Source organism: Homo sapiens, chromosome 12 (genome assembly GCF_000001405.40).
Source record: "Homo sapiens chromosome 12, GRCh38.p14 Primary Assembly".
Taxonomy (NCBI): Eukaryota; Metazoa; Chordata; class Mammalia; order Primates; family Hominidae; genus Homo; species Homo sapiens.
This window is the reverse complement of record NC_000012.12, coordinates 9,554,435-9,577,009: the sequence shown is the minus strand read 5'-3', so window position 1 is coordinate 9,577,009 and position 22,575 is coordinate 9,554,435. Positions and strand designations below refer to the sequence as shown.

Here is a 22,575-nt window from a genome sequence, read left to right as displayed (position 1 = left end):
GAAAACCAGGATCAGGGCAGGACAAGAGGATGCTAGCCTGTGATGGCTCCCACTCAGGTGGGATGTGAGAAGTGCCTGTGGCCTGGGACACACCAACTTGCTCCCATTACCTCATCTGAGATGGATTGCACAGTGTATGTCCAGGGCCCATCCCGGCACACTGTGCCTTTGCAATGCTGTCTCTGCGCTTTGGAAATTCACTCAGCCCACTGCGTGGGGTGGTCTGAGGCGGGCCACAACCATTTCTCAACCATCCCTGAGTACCTGACCAGTATCCCTCGGGGGTGACGACCGGCTACATCTGGAGCATGAGGAGCGTGTTTACCTGGTGAGTAAGGATGCAAGCATAGGACGTCCTGGCCGATCCTCTGCACAAGCAATGCCTTTGCTCCAACGGGATGGGCAACGTTGGATTAGGCCTGAGGCAGATTTGATCTCGGAAGATACATTCGAGTCTATGTGTTTTGTGCCTTTATTTTTGTTTCCTTGAATTAACATGGAGTCCATTTCAACTTTCACTTAGTCTCCTTCTTTCTCTTCCCCCACTTCTTTCTCTCTCTCTCTTTCTTTGTATGTGGAAGAATTGTAACTCTGTGTTCCACAATGTCTAAATACTCAAATTTAGAGTTGACAGCCATACAGCAAATTATTCAAGTTGCTGTCAAAAAAAAATCCCTGTGTTTTCTAGGATTAAAACTGTGAAAAGAGTACTGGAAGAAAAAAAAGTCATAGACTCAGATGCAAAATGACAACATTTAATGGGATGATAAGGAAATAAGACTTGACAAGAAACCATAGCCCACTGCAAACTGTTCACGATGTCAGATGGTTCATGATTTTTTTCCAGGTTTGATACAGAAGAATCGGTTTGTTACAAGAAATGCTTTTCCACCTGGGATTTAAAACATCGTTTAAACAATAAACACGTTTGTATGTATATATAAATAGATATTTAGATATAAAATCATGCATATATAGGCACATAGACATGTACATACACACACATATGTACAAATATATATGCCTAAATTTTTACTGACCTGTCAACTTACAAAACAAAAATGAGAGATTTATAAAAGGTACATATATAGCTGTGAATTCTTTAAAGCTATTTTTAAAGAAATTAATATAATCTTAATGATTATCAGATTACTCATGCAGTACACAGCTACACAAGTCTAATGAAGTACCAGACACTTTTCTTTCTTCAACTACTGTCCTATCTTATTCAGGTTTTCATTTTCTTACTAGATGTGTTTTCAATGGTTTATGACGTAATAAAATTTCTTCACCTCTTCCAGTAATTGCTTTGTCTCACTGGGAAACTGAACTACTGTCGATGTTGTAAAAAGCTAGGGCATATTCTTCTGAAAAAATAAAGGGAACATGTATTTTTATTAAATAGATGATATAAGCACATTAGATCTAATCCTTCCAATAATTTTGAAATAGAGACAATTACTTTCCCATTTTATACATCCAGAAATATGCTAATAATATTTAAGACACTTGATGAAATATATTCTATTAGTAAATGATTGATAGAGACAGAATTCAAACACTCCACAAACTTCACACAGCATTCAACAAGAAATAAATAGTACCAACCTTCCAGGGAACAGTTGTGTGGTCTCTACAACATCTTTGTATATGTTTTAGAAATTAATCTATCAAATTTTTAAGTTAGCATTTCAGAATATTCCCCACTCCTCTTTTTAAGTCAAAGTCCACAGCAGTAGCTTGGAACAGTCAGTCTTAGCATGAACAACAATGACAATAACAAAAAGACCTGGAAGCTTAGTGTGGCTTGTATTTCAAGTTCAAGTGGAGCCCTGTCAGGTTATATTGCAAGGATTCTGGTGTTGAAAAACTCTGGTAACTGGAAAATGGGTTCAGTCAGAAGACACATCATGGGATAAAGAAACCAGTATACAAAGTAATGCCATCTATTGTTTACTCTGTGAAGACGGAGGTTGATTTTGGAAAGTTTAGTAGCTCAGGGAATGTTATATATAAATAACACATTCAATAACCTTAGGGCATGGCTGTTGCTTGCCTACCTTTTTCGTAATAATCGTAGACCATGGCTGGGGCTGGCTGAATGTTGAACACAAGGTTGCTCTGCTCAACAGAAAAAGGGAAACTGTCTGCTCGACCAAAACCCTATCATGACACAAATTATAATTACATTGTAGCAGGTCTGAGAAAAGATAATCACTGAGAAAATTATCCGCAGAAGTTTATGATCTACATAATTAAATAGATCTAGGGTATGATTAACTTACATATTGGCAAAGTAATGAGTTGTTAACCTTAAATCATATAAAATTTCAAGTTCCTTTGCTTACATTGAGGTGAGAGGAATTTAGCTGGAAGTCTTAGAGGAATGTAGGCATTTATGTGAGTGGTAACAATACACATAGAAAGGATGTCCCTAAAGCGCATGCCACAGTTTGGCGTTTCCTCAGTAAAATAAAAATAGAACTACCCTATGATCCAGCAATCCCATTTCTGGGTATGCATCCAAAGAAAATGAGATGAATATTTTGAAGAGACAGCTGCAGTCCCATGCTAATTCTTTCATTAATCACAATAGCCAACATAAGGAATCAACCTAAGTGTTCGAAACAGATGAATGGATAATGAAACTGAGGCATATCCACATACAAATTATTCGGCCTTCAAAAAAGAAAGAATTTCTGCCATTTGTAACAACACTGAAGAACTTGGAGGACATTATGTGGAATGAAACAAACCAGATACACACAAAAAACACTGCAGGATCTCACCTGTAAGTTAAATCTAAAGTTGAGTTCATAGATGCAGAGAGTAGAATGGCAGTTATCAGGGATGGGAAAATGGGGAGATGCTGGTCAAAGGATAGAAAGCTTCAGCTGTGCAGGATGAATACATTCTACAAATCTCGGGTACAGCGGTGGCCTACAGTTAACAATGCTGTACTGTATATGTAATATTCCCTAAGGGAGTAGATCTTAAGTGCTTTGTCACAAAAAAAGAAGAGGTAACTGTGTGAAGAGAGGGATGTGTTAGTCAGCTAATTCACATATAGTCACGCTAGATGATAACAGTCAGCTCACTATATATATCAAAACGTCACACCACATACCTTCAATACGCAATTGTAATTTCAAAAAATTATGGCAAACTTTGTAAGAGTTTAGTCAAATTATAAAATAATTACATATCTACTCTGTGACCAGACTGTGTTTGATAGGGAGATGATGTTTCTAAAATGGAAAGCTATCTAGTCACATAGCCAGGGCATATATGAAATAGCCTTGGAACTAGCAAGGAGAAGATGATCAGTGGGATAAAACACTGGTAATCCTTAACGTCCCTTATTTTTTCCTTTTACAAATCCTATCATACATATCTATAAGAAATTGAAGCATCCAATTATCCTTGGAAGGAAAAAAGAAAAACTTTAAAGAAAAAAAAATATGGCTAAACTTACATTTTCCAAGTAGAAAAGAACATGGTCATTCTTGACTTCAGTCTTCATCACTTGGCCCTTGTTTTCAAGCTTTGAAGAAATTGTTAGGGAAGGATAGAGAATAGATATTAGAAAAAATGACAGCGCCACTGCAGAACTCAATGTCCACTCTTTTCTACGTCACGTTCTGTTTTATGGAACATTCCTTGGTGCCGTGATGTTTTCATAAACACAGGTAGCAACTAAAGAAAAATATATGATGATCCATGGGAAATACTGACTGCTAATTGGTACAAATTAAGTAAACCAGCTCTCCAGTGTTAGCGCAAAAATACAAAGGTGAATGTTGAAGAAGAATTCTATAGTTTTGTTTTGCTAAACTATGGCTGAACAAGTATTTATTTTATCTTTATACTCTATGTAGCTGTCTTTGTGCTGAAAGATTAGGCTTCTATTATTTACCTCTTCAATGGATGACATGGTTGGAGTAAATCCTGATAGCATTTTTACATCTATAACCACCATACTGGATTTATTGCGAATTCCAGTGTATCTGAAAATTTTAAGAAAACACTTGTTTAGATATCAATTTTAAAAAGTGACTTATCTCATAATGAGGGTGCCAGGTGGATAAATACTAATTGGCTAGAAATCTGGAGGACAGGTAAAAGCTGAAGAGAGAACATCGGAAGAAAGTCATTTTCAAGCATCTGTGAATAGGCACGACCAGAATGATAATGAAAGAGATGATACATAGCAACAGAAATTGGAGTAAATAATGAATTATCTGGACATGAAATCTTCCCCAAACCCTGCTTTTAAGCTTACCTGCAGTCTCAAAGTTTGAACTGATAAACAGAGCTTCTAAATCTTTTACATATACTTAGGTTAGTGTTAGAGTTGCATAACACTTAGAGGACATCTTTGCTTAAAAGGTGGTATATGAGCATAATTATAGAGTAGATAGGTCCCCAGGAGAACTTCTAGCTCAGTTTCCTGCTTCTGGATAAGACTATTGGGGTGTTAAGAGTTCCATAGTTCATCAGGGCATGGTTGCTCACACCTGTAATCCCAGCACTTCTGGAGGCCAAAGTGGGTGGATCACTTGAGGGTCAGAGTTCAAGACCAGCCTGGCCAATATGGCAAAACTCTGACTCTACTAAAAATAGAAAAATTAGCCAGATGTGGTGGTGCACGCCTCTAATCCCAGCTACTCAGGAGGCTGAGCCATAAGAATCCCTTGAACCCAGGAGGTGGAAGTTGCAGTGAGCTGAGATTGTGCCACTGTGCCACTGTACTGCAGCCTGGGTGACAAAGTAAGACTCTGTCTCAAACAAAAAAAAAAAGAAAGAAAAAAAAAAAAGAAAAAGAGTTCCCCAATTCATTGAGTTCTTAGCCCTGGAGCTCAAGCGATTTTTATTTAGAAATTCTAAAAAATATCTCCCAAACTAATTTTACTCAATGTTTTCCACATATTAACTAAGGCTAAAAGCCTTTAGCATCTATAAATCATGCTTGAATTCAAGAGGATCATTTTGTTTTTCTATTCTGAAAAGTAAAAATCTAAAATGTTACTCTTTACAGTTACAAAAGAAACATTTGTGGGCTTGCTACTATATGACCATGCATGCTTGTCTTGAGAAAGAAATATAGAATCTCTGTTTTTCAAAACTAGGAGTACTTCCATACAACAGAATAAAAAGTATCATTGAAACATCAGTGCAGTGAAAGCTTTCAAATCCTGCTCACATAGACTGCATGTTTTCTTGCCTCATTTTAGCTCTGATTTAGCTGAAGATGTACTAAATTGTGGTGTCCGGACAGAGGGCTAAAAAGTGACTGTGCTGTAGAATTGTCACCACCAACATGAGAACTCATCATATTACCATGATTTATATTTTGTTATTTCACTACTGTTTGAACTTTTAAAATATTTTACCATCTTGTTCACATGGGAGTTACTGTCAAAATATGACACTTACTTGAGGGTCACTGTGAGGTCAAAAGCAGTCGAAGAGTAGTTCTTTACTATTTCCAAGGAAAGAGAAAATCCAGATGCCTTCTTAGGTAGGAGAACATTGTACTTAAGGGTGGCCTAGAAAGGATAGCAAATTATAAGAAAACTCATCCTGTATTAAGAATTATACAGTCTGACTAGAGTCAGTAGTAATGTGATTTTACATTTTAAAATAACCAAGAGTATACTTCGATCATTGGTAACACAATGGATAAATGCTTGAGGTGATGCATACCCCACTTGCCCTGATGTGATTCTTACACGTTGCATGCCTGTATCATGCACCCGGTAAATATTTACACCTACTATGTACCCACAAAAATTAAAACATTTTTAAAAAGAAAGAACCCATTGTTTATTTCTATTACTAATGCAGTTTACATCTTTATCATCAGGGAATCAGGTTAAATTCTTTAGTTTTCAGAATAATGTAATTTAATGAAGATAGAATACTTTCTAATAGCAATATTCCTCAAGAAACTTCTCTTAGACAGCTGAGTAGCTTTTCAAAAAGTAACTTGCAATTTTGGCTATTGATTATGTAAATACACAAAACGGTCAAATAACACTTCACGTAGAACTGAACAGACAGTCTGACTCTTTTACTGGCAAACACTCATCACCCTCTTAGGCAGATTTCTGTTACCTGGATAAATGTACAACCGTGTCCTTCCACATCTACTGTGTATTCTCCAGGTGCCTGTGTTACTTCTGAACGTTGGACCAGTAGGCGGTTATGACCGTTAACCTGGAAAATCTCACTGGATCCTTCACTGCTAAAGGTGACAGTGTTTTGATCCTTAGAGAAGAGCCCCTCTTCCCCCCGGGCTCTTAGGATCGCCATCGCAGGGCGGGGAGGCACCCACCGCGAGGCGGAGACTGAGAGCCAGTCCCTCCCACCCCCGGCTCTTAGGACCCCCATAGCAGGGTGGGGAGGCACCTCCCGCGAGGCGGGGACTGAGAGCCAGCCCCACTTCCACCCCTGGCTTTTAGGACCCCCGTCACAGGTGGGGGAGGCACCCCCAGCGAGGCGGGGACTGAGAGCCTGCCCCTCTTCCCCCCTCCAGGCTCTTCGGACCCCCATCGCAGGGTGGGGAGGCACCCCCCGCGAGGCAGGGACTGAAAGCCAGCCCCTCTTGCCCCCCAGGCTCTTGGGACCCCCACCATCGCAGGGGGGGGAAGGGACCCCCATCGCAGGGGGGGGAAGGGACCCTCATCGCAGGGGGGGGAAGGGACCCCCATCGCAGGGGGGGGAAGGGACCCCCATCGCAGGGGGGGGGAAGGCACCCCCATCGCAGGGGGGGGATGGCACCCCCCGCGAGGTGGGGACTGAGAGCCAGCCCCTCTTACTCCCCTGGCTCTTAGGTCCCCCATCGCGGGGGGCGGAAGCACTCCCCACGGGGCGGGGACTGAGAGCCAGCTCCTCCCACCCCCGGCTCTTAGGACTCCCATTGCAGGGAGGGAGGCAAACCCCGCGAGGTGGGGACGGAGGCAAACCCCGCGAGGTGGGGACTCAGCCAGCCCCTCTTCCCCCCCTGGCTCTTGGGACCCCCATCGCAAGGTGGGGAGGCACCCTCCGCGAGGCGGGGACTGACAGCCAGCCCCTCTTCCCCCCCGGCTCTAAGGACCCCCATCGCAGGGGGTGGAGGCACCCCACGCGATGCGGGGACTGAGAGCCAGCCCCTCTCCCCCACGCGGCTCTTCGGACCCGCATCGCAAGGCGGGGAGGGCATCGCAAGGCGGGGAGGCACCCCATGCAAGGCGGGGAGGCACCCCATGCGAGGCGGGGACTGAGCGCCAGCCTCTCTTCCTCCCCTGGCTCTTAGGACCCCCATCGCAGTGGGGGGATGCACCCCCCGCGAGGCAGAGACTGAGAGAAAGCCCCTCTTTCCCCCCTGGCTCTTAGGACCCCCATCGCAGGCGGGGTAGGCACCCCCCGTGAGGCGCGGACTGAGAGCCAGGCCCTCTTCTCCCCCTGGCTCTTGGGACCCCCATCGCAGGGCGGGGAGGCACACCTCACGAGGCGGGGACTGAGAGCCAGCCGCTCTACCCCCCCTGGCTCTTGGGAACCCCATCGAAGAGTGGGGAGGCACCGCCTGCGAGGCGGGGACTGAGAGCCAGCCACTCTTCCCCCTCTGGCTCTTGGGACCCCCATCACAGGGGGGGGCACACCTCGCGAGGCAGGGACTGAGAGCCAGCCCCTCTTCCCCCACTGGCTCTTGGGAACCCCATCGCAGTCGGGGAGGCACCACCCGTGAGGCGGGGACTGAGAGCCAGCCCCTCTTCCAGCCCTGGCTAGGACCCCCAACACGGATCCGAAGATCCTTAGGACCCACCTGGAGGACTGTGGGTATTAGGTGTCCAAGAAGAAAGCTCAGATCTGCCGACGGTAGGTACATTATTTGGAATTCACTATCCGACAGGGGTCCGAATGCAGCCCGGGATCACAAAGAAAGCATGTCCTTTGCAATCTACGGGAGCCTAAGGGCAGAAGGCAGGTGACAGAATTCTTAGGAGCTGTGGGGTTTTGGAGACTGTGGATTCCAAACTTTGCAGTATTAGCCAAGCCTTTGTATGAGGTCACAAAAGGGGCAGGGACCGGGAAGCTTTGGAAAGGGGATGCCAACAACAGCAAGGCTTTCATGAGTTAAAGGAAAAACTTCTGGCAGCCCCAGCCCTGGGGCTACCCGAACTGACAAAGCCTTTCCCATTGTATGTGTCAGAGGGAGAAAAGATGGCAGCTGGACTTTTAACCCAAACTGTGGGGACCTGGCTGAGGCCGGTGGCCTACGTCTCTAAACAACTAGACAGGGTTTCTAAGGGATGGCCCCCCTGTTTGAGGGCCTTGGCAGCATCTACCCTGCTAGTACTAGAAGCAAATAAGCTGACTCTTGGGCAAAACCTGAACATAAAGGCCCCCCATGCTGTGGTGACTGAGAGCCAGCCCCTCTTCCCCCCCTGGCTCTTAGGATCCACGGTGGACTCACAGCCTGTTTACCATATTGTGAGTAATATCATCTCCCCCTCTGGAGACCTCTGGAGATTATGAACTGTTTCACAGACGGGTGTACACCCTCAGTGTACAGAGGGCGTACACCCATCTGTATTGGGAGTAATATCATCCTCTTCCTCCCTGAATATTAAGAACAGTATCACAGGGGTGTTTCTACTCCCTGCGATATCGCGTGTCATATCCTCCTCTCCCACGTTGCAATTAGAAACAATATCAGTGGGGGCGTGTCCACCTTCTGTCATATTGAAAGTAATATCATTTTCTTCCCTCCAGGACCGTGGGAACAATATCTCAGGGGGGTTTCCACTTTCTGCCATATATGTAGTCACATCACCCACTCCGCCCTGGAATATTATTAAGGACCATCTAACACGAGGGTGTATACGTCCTGCGATATTACGAGTAATATCAACTTCTTGGCTTCTGAATATGAGGAAGAATATCACAGGGTGGGTGTACACCTCGTGCTCTATTATGCGGAGTCGTATCTGTCTATTATGGGGAGTAATATCATTCTCTCCCTTTCAGGATATTAATAATTTCACAGGCTGGGTGAACACAGCCGGCGATGCTGAAATTAGTATCATCCTCTCCCCCTCTTCCCCTCCTGGCTCTTAGGACCCCCATCGCAGGGGGATGAGGCACCCCCCCGCGAGGCGGGGACTGAGAGCCAGTCCCTCTTACCCCCCTGGCTCTTAGGACCCCCATCGCAGGGGGGGAGGCATCCCCCACGAGGCAGTGACTGAGAGCCAGCCCCTCTTCCCCCCCTGGCTCTTGGAACCCCCATCGCAGAGGGGGGAGGCACCCCCCGCGAGGCGGGGACTGAGAGCCAGCCCCTCTTCCCCCGCTGGTTATTACCCCCATCGCGGATCCTAAGACCCTTAGGACCCAAGTGGAGGACTGTGGGTTTTAGGTGTCCAAGAAGAAAGCTCAGATCTGCCGATGGCAGGTACCTTACTTGGGATTTACTGTCTGACAGGGGTCCGAATGCAGCCGGGATCACAAAGAAAGCAGGTCGTTTGCAATCTACCGGAGCCTAAGGGCAGAAGGCAGGTGAGAGAATTCTTAGGAGCTGTGGGGTTATGAAGACAGTGGATCCCAAACTTTCCAGTATTAGCCAAGCCTTTGTATGAGGTCACAAAGGGGGCGGGGACCGGGAAGCTTTCCAATGGGGATCCCAACAACAGCAAGGTTTTCATGAGTTAAAGGAAAAACTTCTGGCAGCCCCAGCACTGGGGCTACCCGATCTGACAAAACCTTTTCCATTGTATGAGTCAGAGAGAGAAAAGATGGCAGCTGGACTTTTAACCCAAACTGTGGGGACCTGGCTGAGGCCGGTGGCCTACGTCTCTAAACAACTAGACAGGGTTTCTAAGGGATGGCCCCCCTGTTTGAGGGCCTTGGCAGCATCTACCCTGCTAGTACTAGAAGCAAATAAGCTGACTCTTGGGCAAAACCTGAACATAAAGGCCCCCCATGCTGTGGTGACTGAGAGCCAGCCCCTCTTCCCCCGCTGGCTCTTAGGATCCACGGTGGACTCAGCCTGTTTACCATATTGTGAGTAATATCATCTCCCCCTCTGGAGACCTCTGGAGATTATGAACTGTTTCACAGACGGGTGTACACCCGTCTGTATTGGGAGTAATATCATCCTCTTCCTCCCTGAATATTAAGAACAGTAACACAGGGGTGTTTCTACTCCCTGCGATATCCCGTGTCACATCCTCCTCTCCCACGTTGCAATTAGAAACAATATCAGTGGGGGCGTGTCCACCTTCTGTCATATTGAAAGTAATATCATTTTCTTCCCTCAAGGATCGTGGGAACAATATCCCAGGGGGGTGTACCCTTTCTGCCATATATGTAGTCACATCACCCACTCCGCCTTGGAATATTATTAAGGACCATCTAACACGAGGGTGTATACGTCCTGTGATAGTGGGAGTAATATCAACTTCTCGGCCTCTGAATATGAGGAAGAATATCACAGGGTGGGTGTACACCTTGTGCTCTATTATGCGGAGTCGTATCTGTCTATTATGGGGAGTAATATCATTCTCTCCCTTTCAGGATATTAATAACAATTTCACAGGCTGGGTGAACACAGCCGGCGATGCTGAAATTAGTATCATCCTCTACCCCTCTTCCCCTCCTGGCTCTCAGTCCCCGCCTCACGGGTTATGTAGCGGGTTATGGCAAGAAGACAAACTGCAGTTTCCTGCACAGAACAGCACAAACAATGATCCAAGCTCAGTTACAACACAATATTGGTCATCATTTGACAATGGACTTCATATCAACCCTTAGAAATGTTCCTAAAACAGGTCAGCAAAACACCAAGAAGCAATATCCTGAATGGTAGGAAAATATCCTTGCTTGTGCAAATTGTTTCCACTTAAATTAATTTTTTTCAACAAATGTTAATTATATTTTTACTTTCTAAAAATTTTTAATAAAATATAGCCTCCTTGGTTAAAAATGGTGTCAAACCTTTTCTAAAAGTTAAGGCATTACATAATTCAGTGGCCCCTGTGGCTGCCATGGATAATTCTTTTTTTTCTGTTCATCTTCAAAGAAGGGAATTCAGAATCAGGAAAAGATCTTTGGAAATTCATTAGCATATGGTTTTACTCCGAAACTAAGACCAAACACAAAGAGAAATGAAGATTTTTCTTATGGAGATAAAACTGCTTTTTTGCATTTTCAATTTGTTTCCAAGTAAGGAAAAACATGTCATTGTTTCTCATACCCCCCATTTCTCCTGTTTTCCTTCTTTTCATTTGCTTTTCCCAGTGTATAGCCCACAGAACTAGAGCGAAAGCTTTCTTTTTGGCCCGTATATAATTTGAACAGAGTATCATCAGGTGTCTAATGTACCACCAAGAGTGGTGCTTACGACAAAAATGTCCTCTAGACTTATTCTATGTTTGCTGTGTGAATGAAGATACAAACGGTCATAAATTCCTGGAACAGGAGACCTCATTTCATTCATTTCTATTTAGAGGCTTCCTAGTAGAGTGCCTGATACACAATAACTGGCCAATAAATAATTGTTGAGGAAATAAAATAAGATTAATAAGATAATAAGAATCTTATTACCAAAGATTCTTCTTCTCAGAAAGGGTTTGTTGTGATAGCTTTACTATTAATATCTCACTCGTCACAGAGTTACAGCTTCTGCATTAAACATATTGCTATTAATATCAGGCCTACATTAATCACCTGGTTGGAAGAAAAGCCTCCATGGGAATTCATCCGTTGGGCAAGCCACTGCACAATCTTACTAGCATAGGTGAGGTCAGGAATTTTCCGGGAAATGACAGCCAACAGCACGTAGCAACTCTTCTCAGTCTGAGCAGAAGGTGCCCAGGGAATAAAGGATGGAAATTCTTCTGTCTTGGGTTTCCTTTCTCTTTCCCAGTAGATGACATTATCTGAGAAAAAGGAAGAATTTTCACATAGTCTGTATAAAAGTCATGGGTTACACATAAAGAAGGATGAAAATTCCATTCCCGACCTCTGTTTGTGCTGAATTGTTCCCCTAAAATTATATGTTGAAGCCCTAACACCAAGTACCTCAAAATGTGGCTGTATTTGGAGATAAGACTTTTTAAAGAGGTGATTAAGTTAAAATGAAGCTTATGGGCCACAATCCAATCTGACTGGTGACCTTATGAGAAGAAAAATTTTGGACACACAAAAGGGAGAGCAGGGCTGTGCACACACAAAAGATCTTGTGAAGACAAAGGAAGAATGTGGTCATCTGCAGGTGAAGAAACCACACTTTCAACACCTTGAACTTAGACTTCTAGCCTCCAGAAGCATGAGAAAATAAACTTTTGTTGCTGCAGTCATCCAGTATGTGGTATTTTATGACAGCTATAGCAAACTACTACAGCCTTAAATAGCAACTTTCTAAGTAGCAGGTGATTAAGCTTCCCCAGCAGTTTCGATAGCCTATGGCTTGGTCACCAGGCTTGATTCCCCTGACATCACTCATTTGAGAGGAAGCTAGCATAAAGCAAAAGAGGAAAGTCTAGAATATGTAGCGTTCTTGAAAGGTATAAAGGCCACTGATAAATTCCATAAGAGAAACAGAAACATACTCGTCAAGAGGGAGCTCCTATGTGACTGCTTAGAACGCTTCCTCACTGTGCTCCAAGATCACCTCCATTAGCAACAATGAATAATAACGCTTACTTAGTTTTGGGGCAGATTGATCCAGGGTTTGGAGTAAAGATTCCACTTGCTTCTCTTTTCCAGCTAAGGCAAAAGCATAAGCTAGAATTGCATGATTATAGCCATTAGTGACACCACTGTCCAATGCCGCTTCAAGGCAAAAGAGTGCGTTTCGTAGAGCAGGAAACTGTTGGTCAGGAAGAAGAATCATATATTGTAAACTGATACCCGAACATTCCATGAACTTGTTGAACATTTAAACTAATCATTGTTTATAATATATATAATATATCCTCAAAGTATATTTTACATACAAATCCATTTATATATACACATATATTTTATCCTTCAAAAATATCATTAAAATAAATTTATAATGTCATTATTAGTACCTAAGCAATAATTTTTTTTTGAGATAGGGTCTTGCTCTGTTACCCAGGCTGGAGTGCAGTGGCATGATCTCAGCTCACTGCAACCTCCACCTCCCAGGTTCAAGCGATTCTCCTGCCTCCATCTTCTGAGTAGCTGGGATCACAGGCATGCACCACCAAGCCCAGCTAATTTTTGTATCTTTAGTAGAGATAGGGTTTCACCATGTTGGCCAGGCTGGTCTTGAACTCCTGACCTCAGGTAATCCACCCACCTCAGCCTCCCAAAGTGCTTGGATTATAAACATGAACCACCATGCCAGGCCCAATGAAATTTAGTAAGAAAATGGCAGTTTTTATATTTGATCAGTGATATTTTAGTTATGAATGTCTTCTATGCGGCAAAGCATCCAAATTTATCATAGGCCTAAGAGTTTTTTTTTTTCTAGTGCCTAAAATAGAGGCTTACATTTGTGAAGATAATTTTCAGGGTATACTAATGACCCTGACAATTCCTAGCATCTTAGTTCAGGAATAGATTTTGGAAATCTAATCTATGGATTGGGAGGTGGCTAGGGTGAGCCACACTTAAGTTGAAAATGTTTACTCACTTATTGTTTAGAGAGAAACAGAATACTAGGCCACGGCTTTACTTAGAACAGTGGTTCTTAATCTGAAATTCATGGCTGAACTTCAGGAGAGATGTGAATGCCTGCAATTGTGTGAATAACTCTTTTTTGTGTGCATATGTGTATTCTCCCTAGGGAGAAACCCAATCCTGTTTTTCAAAGCTGTCTATGAATGAAAAACAGTTTGAACAGCATGAATTTAAAGGGTGGTAATAAACTAAATGTTATCTCGGGGTTTCATCCAGTCTTAGAATCTCAAGTGACTCTGACTCTACAGTCTATTGAATGTGCATTCAGCTGCCTGAAATCAGAAATGACGGGAATCCATACAGTGAAATTGAGCCCAGCTTCAAAGAACATCCCAACAACATACGCAGTGAGTGAAATGTCCTCTTCATCTCCACCCTGAAAACAAAGGAACAATGAGTCATTCGGGACAGCAGAGCACAAAATAGCAAGTATTCTTTTGAAGTAAAACTAGGTATGAAAAAAATACTGGAACAAATACCATTATTCATAAAAACACCCGAACATGTGTAGTTTTTAAATTAGATGGTTAATAATCATACTATCTAAGCAAGAATTCATTCAGACTCTATGCAATAATTAAATCATAATTATTAAGTTGTTATAACAATTAATTTCAATCGTATTTATGTGGCCTGGTGTTAAGCATGCATTCTAAGGAATTCACAGGACTCTATTTGTCTCCGCTTGGTATAAATCTGAAAAAAGCCAACAAAGAATTTCTAATGAGGTGAAGCAGAAAGTTGCCGTGAAGATTCCTGGAAATTCCTGGAAAAGCACCCTAGGAGATCACCAGAATCAAGTCTCAGATTCTTACAGTGTAAAATGAGAAACTCATTTATAAATCATGTGGTTTGCAAACTGACTGTGCATAAAAGTCCCCTGGGGTATTTAAATCAACCAGTGTCTACACAGAGATTCTGGTTCAAAAAACTTGGGAATACGACAGCGAAATGCATTTTAATGGGTGCTCTAGTGACTCTGATGCAAATAGCATTCAGAATGGCATCTGGGATCTACTGATCTTGTAGAAGCTTCCCATTTTATCTATTTAAGCAAAGGACAACTCCTGTCTTCTTCAGAAAAGAAATACTTCTGAGAAACCAAGTGTTTAAGATGGAAATAACAGCATATGGTAGACACTAACATGAGGTACGAGGACTGTCAGTACATCTAAATTACAGCAAGTAGGATCACCATTCCTCTGCAGTGTAAGCTTTGATTTTTCCCTTGCATTTTTATTTCTCTCAACTCAAAACACACACAGACACCCACCCACACAGATATTTAATTATAGAGAAAATACTAGGTAAGATCAGACAAACTGTAGCAGTAATCAGCAATGATTCACCAGTAATGAATCCAATAAGAAGAAAGATGTGAAGATGTTTTAGAAGAGAACGTGGGAAAGTTTTTGATTTTTCTATGAAGGAGTAAGAGCTCATCTCCATCAGGGTCCTCCTGTTGTAAGGAATAAGTTTGGAATACATTAAAAATACCACAAAGCAATTTGAATACAATTTGCATGCAAATTAAATATCAGAGTGTGTGGATTAGATATGCATTCTGGGTTTCAAGAACAGGAGTGATGATTATGAGGAAGGATGCTGAAGAAAAGCTCAGGGTATTTCAGGGGCCATCAGAGCATGCTAAAATGCCATGATAGGAGATTTTGAGCAACCACAGGGAAAAAAAGGAGGGGAAAGGAGATAGAAAATGGGCTGGAGATGGACAGGTATCTGCAAAGAAAGGAAGTTGGAAGGGAGGGATTTACGTAAATATGGACAGGAAAAGGGTTGGATTTTGCCAAGGATATACTTCACCTCATTTGTACTTTGGCCCCGGGGCAAGCTTGGCCTTTGAATTTTTCCTTGAGAGGGTCTTAGAAAAACTTGCTTCATTGAAACAATATGAATTACTAGATATTCTCCCCAGAACTTTCTTGCCATTCATGGACAGGAATAAACTTTCCTTCCTCATACACTCACAGCCCCCTCCCTTTATACATTGACTGTCTCCAAATTTATGAAAGTTTCTTTTCTAGGTTCCCTTTCTCTCCCCTCCCTTCTATTTCTAGTTTAATTTCTGAAGAGGACTGACTCGGGAAGGACTAGAGACTGAATAAGGCAGACAAGAGACTCAGAAGAAGTCACATCCAGGCTGTAGTTAAACATGCACAAAGCAGGAATGGTGCTGCTGACCAACCCACCACAGGCCCAGGACTGCAGTGCCTCAGAAGGTTTCATATGCACAGGAAGAATATTCATATTCCAGATCAGGAAAGCCAGAGGCAGGGCAAGGCAGGCAATGCCCAGGAACAAGGAAAGCCTGGTGCTTCTCCTCTCTCACCTCCCAGGCGTGGTTGAAAAGCTGGCCATCATTCTTAAAGCAGCCGCTTGTTTTCTGTTGGCTTGAAAGCCAGATTAAGGTCTGTTTTTGAACATTTTCATCAATGAATACATATTTTTTCATTCTCTCCAATGTCTTAAAAGTAAGAGCACTGAGTCTGTAATACAAATCACCAAAGCAAAATTAGATAAAGAGGAAGTGACAATGTCAGCAATTCCACAGGTTCATCACCACTGTTCCCTTTGAGTAAAGGATGCATTCAACTCATCTACTGTAAACCATCTTTATTGTTAGTGGCCCTTTCCTTTGGGTCAGGAAAATATTATGACTAGCAATAAGTGGAAATTAGAGTAGGTAATTTTCAGCATGTTTGCACCCAAAGGTCCTGTTGTATATAGCCCATTAGATTATCTGCACATGGAGAGAGAAATGATGTAATTAGGTATTTTGGGTCCTTCTAATTTCACTTTCCCGAATCTATATGGGACTCTGAGAAGCACAGAGTAAGACGTGCCCTCTTCGGTGGAGTTAACCAGCGGTGCATGTATAGGGGCTGTCATGAGGGATCAGACTGCTAAGCAAATCGTCATGAGACTGAAGGAACATTGTTGCATTAGAATTGGAATCACTAAATCTTTAGTTTTATCTATTTCTCTTCCGTAAATTGACTTTGAAACCCACTTTGCTTCTAAATCCCCACTGAACTCTATCCTCCTTCACCTCCTTGCAAGCCCTCCTCAGGTAATTCCTATATTATATAAAATAAAATTTTTATGTCTCACCATATGCTTCCTTTCTGACTCTGCTGCCAAAACACACTATAGGAACCATCAGAGTTTTTGAAAGATAATTGCCTTTGATAACCTAAAATAGAACATTGTAGGAAATTATTTTTTAACCTAAGAAAGTTAGAAGAGAAAGAATAGTGCAGTGCAAGCCCTAGGTATTGGTGTTAGACACAAATCACTAGGATGATCATTTCCATTTGAACTTCTGAAACTCAGGTTCTGTATTCATAAGGGAGAAAAAATAACTCTTACTTTATAGGATTTTGATCACAAGATAATACACATGGATATGTCTGGCTCAGTAATTGCCTCGTCATTGGTACCTACTAACTATTCAGTATATTTCCCCTAAGGTCATTTTATTTCAGTGTTATCTTTCTGAGAAGAAAAACCAAAGAAGATTATTTTATGCTCCTGGACTTGTCCTTAACCTCACATTTCACAACATTGGCCCTCTTTCTGTATACAAAGCCAATCACTTCACTGCAACAGACCACAGCTGAGCAAACAAATACAGACGCTGATAGATGAACCACTGACAACAACTCCTAACAAAAACAACAATAATAACAACAATAAACAAGGTAGCTTGCAAAATACCAGACATTAAAAAAAAATTAAGTGCATAGCTTGAAAACTTTGCAGCTGTAAATTATGAAGCTAGCTGACCACACAGATTTTGAAGTCAGACGGAAAACAGCGCTAGGACTGAGAGTTCCTCGGTTCAGGTTCACTTTTCTTTCACCAGACTACTGCATAAAAACAGCTTATGACGTCTTGGTATGAGTAACAATTGCTTTCAACAATTATGGGCAGAAATTACTTAATTCTTCTCACCATTAGATAAGAGAAAGAAAGCCTTAGATTGAACTTCCTCTGTCAGTTGCTCAGTAGATTTCAGATAGTCCAGAACATAAGTATCAGATGCTAGTAGGGCAGCATTCTGCTCTCCACTTCCATAGGGCATTTGGAGAACAACCAGATTCTGCAAGGCAAGTCCTAGAATATCCCCTAAAAACAGGAAAAGCAGAAAGCTGTATTGTTTATAGTTGCCATCTCAGCATTAATAACTATAGACAAAAGAGGCATAGTGGAATAGGTAACATTTAAAATTGAGTCTAAATGGTGGAAACAAAGAAAGTTTTATGAAGCAATTTGAAAGAAGAGACAGCCATGAAGGGTGAAGTTAAACTGCTATGAAAAATATTTCTGAAAATCTCATTACTAGAGAGAGGAGGAAGTTAGGAGAATGCATTTGTTTGCTTGTTTGCTAGTTTTTTTTTTAATCAATCAATCCTATGAATTACAAAGTGTAATCCATCCCTTCCAAGAGATGTTCATGTTAATAACAGACAAAGAAGTTTGCCTTTCGTATCAACAACAAACATTTCTCCTTTTATTGAGAAAACTCCCAACATCATTAACAGGCAACGTTAATTCGATTCTCCAAGAGGTGAATTTCATATTTCAGATTAATGATTATAAAGAACCTCTTGCTTTCTGAACACTAGTTACCATCTACCCAAGCTAAGGTTTCCTGGGAATACAGGTCCGGAAACGGTACTGTAATCCCTTTAGATCCCATCAGGAAACATAGAGGATGATCTGAACAATAATTCCCTCCAATTGATAGCTTAGGAAGATCTCTCCATTCTGTTATTTTAAGGATTTTTAAAGACCACCTCAACCAAGATTTTCAAATCATAGTGAAACACAAAATTTAATCAACTTACCCACAACAGTGAAAAAGCCTCTGGCTGACCCTTCTACTACATCGTTTGGCAAGTCCAAAACTCCCTGCTTGGAGGCTTTGGCACCTAGAATGAAAATACTGATTTAAAAAATGTGATGGCTTCTTTATATCAGCAGATTTGGGGGATAAACATATTGGAAATAAGATTCCATTACTTATTTTTATTTTACAAGTTGTTTATTAGAGGAGATGAATTTGGAGTTTTGACCCAGTTTAGGATAATAGTACATTCAGAAAATGGCATACAAATCTGTGTGTTAGATTGTGGCCCCCGTTCTTCACTGGTTTAGTGCCTGAACTATTTATGTATGAAAAAATGTAAAAACTACACTGACTGTAACACATAAAACAACACACACAAAAGGTAAAGCTTGAAGACTCTGATAAAGGAGTATAATCAGATCACCATCAACCAGGTAAAATAATACCCCTCATGGCCATAAAACCGGAGACTGAGGGGCAGGGGCAGTGAAGTATCTATGGGTTATTTTCTCCTAAGAGTACAAAAGCCAAGATTATATTATGTGCTATTGGGCCTCAATCCTAATATCTCATTGTCCAATATTGTGTGACAACCATATCATAAGAGGAGCTAAGAATACACATGATGGAAAAAAAAATAGATAGGAGCAGACCAGCCTCAGAAAGTGAACTAAAAACCACCTCCTGAATATTCTTTTTGATGGATAAACTTATACCATAAAGATAAAGCATGAAACACAAGAATCCTCCATGAGTTATTTAAAGTGAAATCACAGGGCACATGGACTCATGTGGAAGGAGAGGACATGAACTGATTCTTTTGGTGAATTTTATTTAGGACTAATTTGACTCCCTAAAAGATCCTCTTACCTTCTGTACAGATAAGGAAACTCTGGGTCCTTTCCTTTTCAATACCTTCAGGCTGTCAAAGAATAACACAAACAAGCACAGAAGAATGAGTCTAGATCCTCTGTCCATGAAGGAAAAGTGATTAAGCACCAGCTCACTTAAGCATGGCTGGTGCAAGTTTATCCCTGAGAGAAGATCCAACTCATGGTCCCCTTTTGTTCATATCTGGAAGGCACGGGACATCACTGGCACCCATTTTAGCCTCTGCGTTCTGTAGCTTGGACAGGCATTATCTTGATGTCACTGTGGGACACTCTCAGCTCCTCTGATCCTGTATAGCATCTCCAGTAAACAACTAAAATTGCTTTGTGGAGCAGGGATGTGCCAAGAGGCAAGTCAAGAGTGTTCCTCTGACAAGCGCTGATTCTTGTTGAGGATGACGGGAACTGCACGGGAGTGCAGGACAAGTAGATTTGTCTCTTGAATTTGAGAATCGGAAAAAGAGAAGGAAGAGAAATAGGTGTACAGGAAACATCTTGACTCAGAAACAAACAAAAAATTGTCAAGTCTGTTTCAAATGTTAAGTTTTACTATCCTGGGTGAGGTATTAATTAAAGAAAGGATGAACTTTATGCTGTTTTAATTCATTTAAAATGGCATGTCTTGTGTCAAAAGTAAATGTTGTCAACTAATTAAGTCTCTTCAATGAGAAGATCTTTTAGTACAAAACCTCTTAGATGTCTGTTTCTTTTCAGGAAAAGCTTGACTGTTTGCATATCCATACCTCTACTAAGAAGCTTTGGACCACAGTGTCTTTCCAGTTTAGCTTTTGCTGCTCCATTCCTTCATTTGGGCAAGCACTGCTTTGTTTGGACTCAGCAACTACAGTGATATTCACTTTACCTGGAAGACATTCCCAAATATAAATTAAATTGATCATTGGTCCCTTCTGTAATGAGAAATGACTAGAGTCTGTGAACCATGTCTTGAATTGGATTAACCAAATTCTATCATTAAGTTAATGCTTAGAACAAAATAACTTATTTCTTCTCCTTCCTAGGTATAATGTGGTATCTTCCATTTCACCTGTTCCATGATTTTCATGATTCCTTACATTAAATGATAAATTTACTTAATTAAAACTTAAGAAATTTTAGGAAAAGTAACATTTTACAAAGTTGTCTGAGTCAATTTCTTGATATTGATTGTTTATAAAGGTTACTTATGACAATATAGGCTAATAATGTCAGCGAACTAGGGCTCCTAACTTCCCAAAATCAAGCAAGCATAGTAAAATATGATATAGTAGATAGGCACTGGATTGAAATAATGTCCTAGCAAGGAATCCATTGTTTTTAAACTTCCTGATTTCACATTATGTAATTAGAACTGATCTCCAGTTTCCTTGCTTGTAAAAATTACAGGATTGAAAACAATCATTCTTTAAGGTTATTATTATTTACGTGACTATATACCAATATACATAACCAATATATTGTTCTTTTTGTTGTTGTTGTTGTTGTTGTGTTTTATTGTTTCTCTGTCTCAGGAAGCTTGCTATTTCACTCTTAAAACTGTGTCTTCGACTTAATGTCATAAAACTATACAAGTTGGTACAATATTCTGTCTCAATTGCCAAGGTAGGATTTTGAAGATCTTGTGCAGTAGAAATATTGAGAAACTTCAAATCTAATAGAAAAATAGTCTGAGAACAGCATCACAACTGAGCTAAAATAATCTCATAGATATATTATTTGCTGTTAAAATAATACAATGAATATAGTACATTAAAGAAAATTTGAATGACCATTTTTTAAAAGTAGTGATTAAAAGTGTCACGCACATTGTATCTAGCATTCCTTGTTTACTAGAGTTTTAAACTTTTTCCATTCCATGTATTTTCAATATTTCAATAGGAGACAAGTTTATTTTTCCATCTTGCAGATAGCATAGGCACTAAGACAATATTCTCAGTTTTTGATCTCAATCCAATCATTTAGTGATTTTGGTATCCCCATGGCACATCTAGTAAATTTACAAACCTGACAATTCCCTCATTGGTCATTGTGATGGAGCAGCAATTTTCGTGAAGGTGGCCTGGGTTCATGATGGTAGGTGAAGGACCCAGCGAGAAGTCAAATAATTAAGGTGGCATTAATGATAACATGGCCTTCGTTTGGGATATGGCATATGCCAAACATATAGTCCGTGATAGGTCATGCCAGTTAGCATTTATATTGTATTTTAATTACATTATGCTCTTGTAAAAATGAATGGTGGTTTTGATCTACACAGCATTAACAACCAGAAATTAGATTACTATAGATTAGAATTTCTAATGGAGAATTTACAATAAGAATTTTAAAAATGTGAGGGAGAAAATCACGTTTGTATAGACAATTTAAGGAAAGTAAATGGAGACAATAAATATGGGCTGGTTTTCCATGAGTGACTGGTGTAGACAGATAGCTGCTTACCCAATTTCTTAGGTATAATAGTCCAGACGTTTGTTTTCCTCCCTCCAGCTTGAATAACCTCACTGCCATTGATTTTCAAGGTATGAATATTTGCTTCATAATTCTGAGACTCCTCCACTTGAACAGAAATCTAAGAAAACAATCATGGCAATGAGGATAGCACTGGAACACACATCACTATGAAACACCATGCTCAATACACTGTTTAAACTGTCACTGTGAATGAAAGCAATTGTATTTGTTTGAGGAATACGGACCTAAGTCTTACACCTTTATAGTAGCATTTTGCATTTGAGGATAAAGAGAATATGGAAATATTAAGAAATATTTTAGCTTTGTTAGATTTTTGCCTCCAGATCAAACAGAACAACTCACCTCTACACATGTATTCCGGTAGCTGAAGACATTGACAATCAAATCAAATTGTTCATTTTGAACAACCGAAAAGGGTGAGGCAATCTCAATAAAGAAAGGTTGGGAGACTTCTAGAGTGGTTGTAGAGGAAATGCCAAATCCAACGTCACCATTCACACAAAAGCCACTTGCCTCCCATTGGGTTATCGTATCAGGAATGAGGAACGAAAGATTGGCAGAGCCTGAGGAACTGGAAGAAGAGGTTATCGGTAAAACACATTCTTTGTCTGAACCAAGAACTTAAAATTAAGTGCAGAGCAAGCAGAAAAGTATTGA

The 22,575-nt window shown here is 41.2% G+C and overlaps 1 pseudogene across 1 annotated transcript in view, besides 1 other annotated feature; it reads right to left on the bottom strand.

Annotated features, from left to right (window-relative positions):
- Positions 1-739: 739 nt before the first annotated feature.
- OVOS1P (ovostatin 1, pseudogene) overlaps positions 740-22,575 on the bottom strand; it is a 127,984-nt pseudogene continuing 106,148 nt past the window's right edge. The window contains exons 29-46 of the transcript NR_153413.2: positions 22,261-22,489; positions 21,886-22,015; positions 20,193-20,311; positions 19,430-19,481; positions 18,558-18,641; positions 17,662-17,835; positions 16,819-16,900; positions 16,037-16,193; positions 14,034-14,065; positions 12,685-12,850; positions 11,707-11,918; positions 9,443-9,520; positions 7,808-7,952; positions 6,118-6,244; positions 5,437-5,549; positions 3,917-4,007; positions 3,476-3,544; positions 740-2,163 (exon numbers count right to left, since the gene is read on the bottom strand). The product of NR_153413.2 is annotated as an ovostatin 1, pseudogene (transcript). The remainder of the gene's footprint in view (positions 2,164-3,475; positions 3,545-3,916; positions 4,008-5,436; positions 5,550-6,117; positions 6,245-7,807; positions 7,953-9,442; positions 9,521-11,706; positions 11,919-12,684; positions 12,851-14,033; positions 14,066-16,036; positions 16,194-16,818; positions 16,901-17,661; positions 17,836-18,557; positions 18,642-19,429; positions 19,482-20,192; positions 20,312-21,885; positions 22,016-22,260; positions 22,490-22,575) is intronic.
- Positions 7,328-8,151: an enhancer, noted in NCBI's record as "H3K27ac-H3K4me1 hESC enhancer chr12:9721455-9722278 (GRCh37/hg19 assembly coordinates)". NCBI's record gives its function as "activates a minimal SCP1, AML or CMV promoter by ChIP-STARR-seq in primed H9 embryonic stem cells {active_cell/tissue: H9 hESC(primed)}" and the evidence as "EXISTENCE:reporter gene assay evidence [ECO:0000049][PMID:30033119]".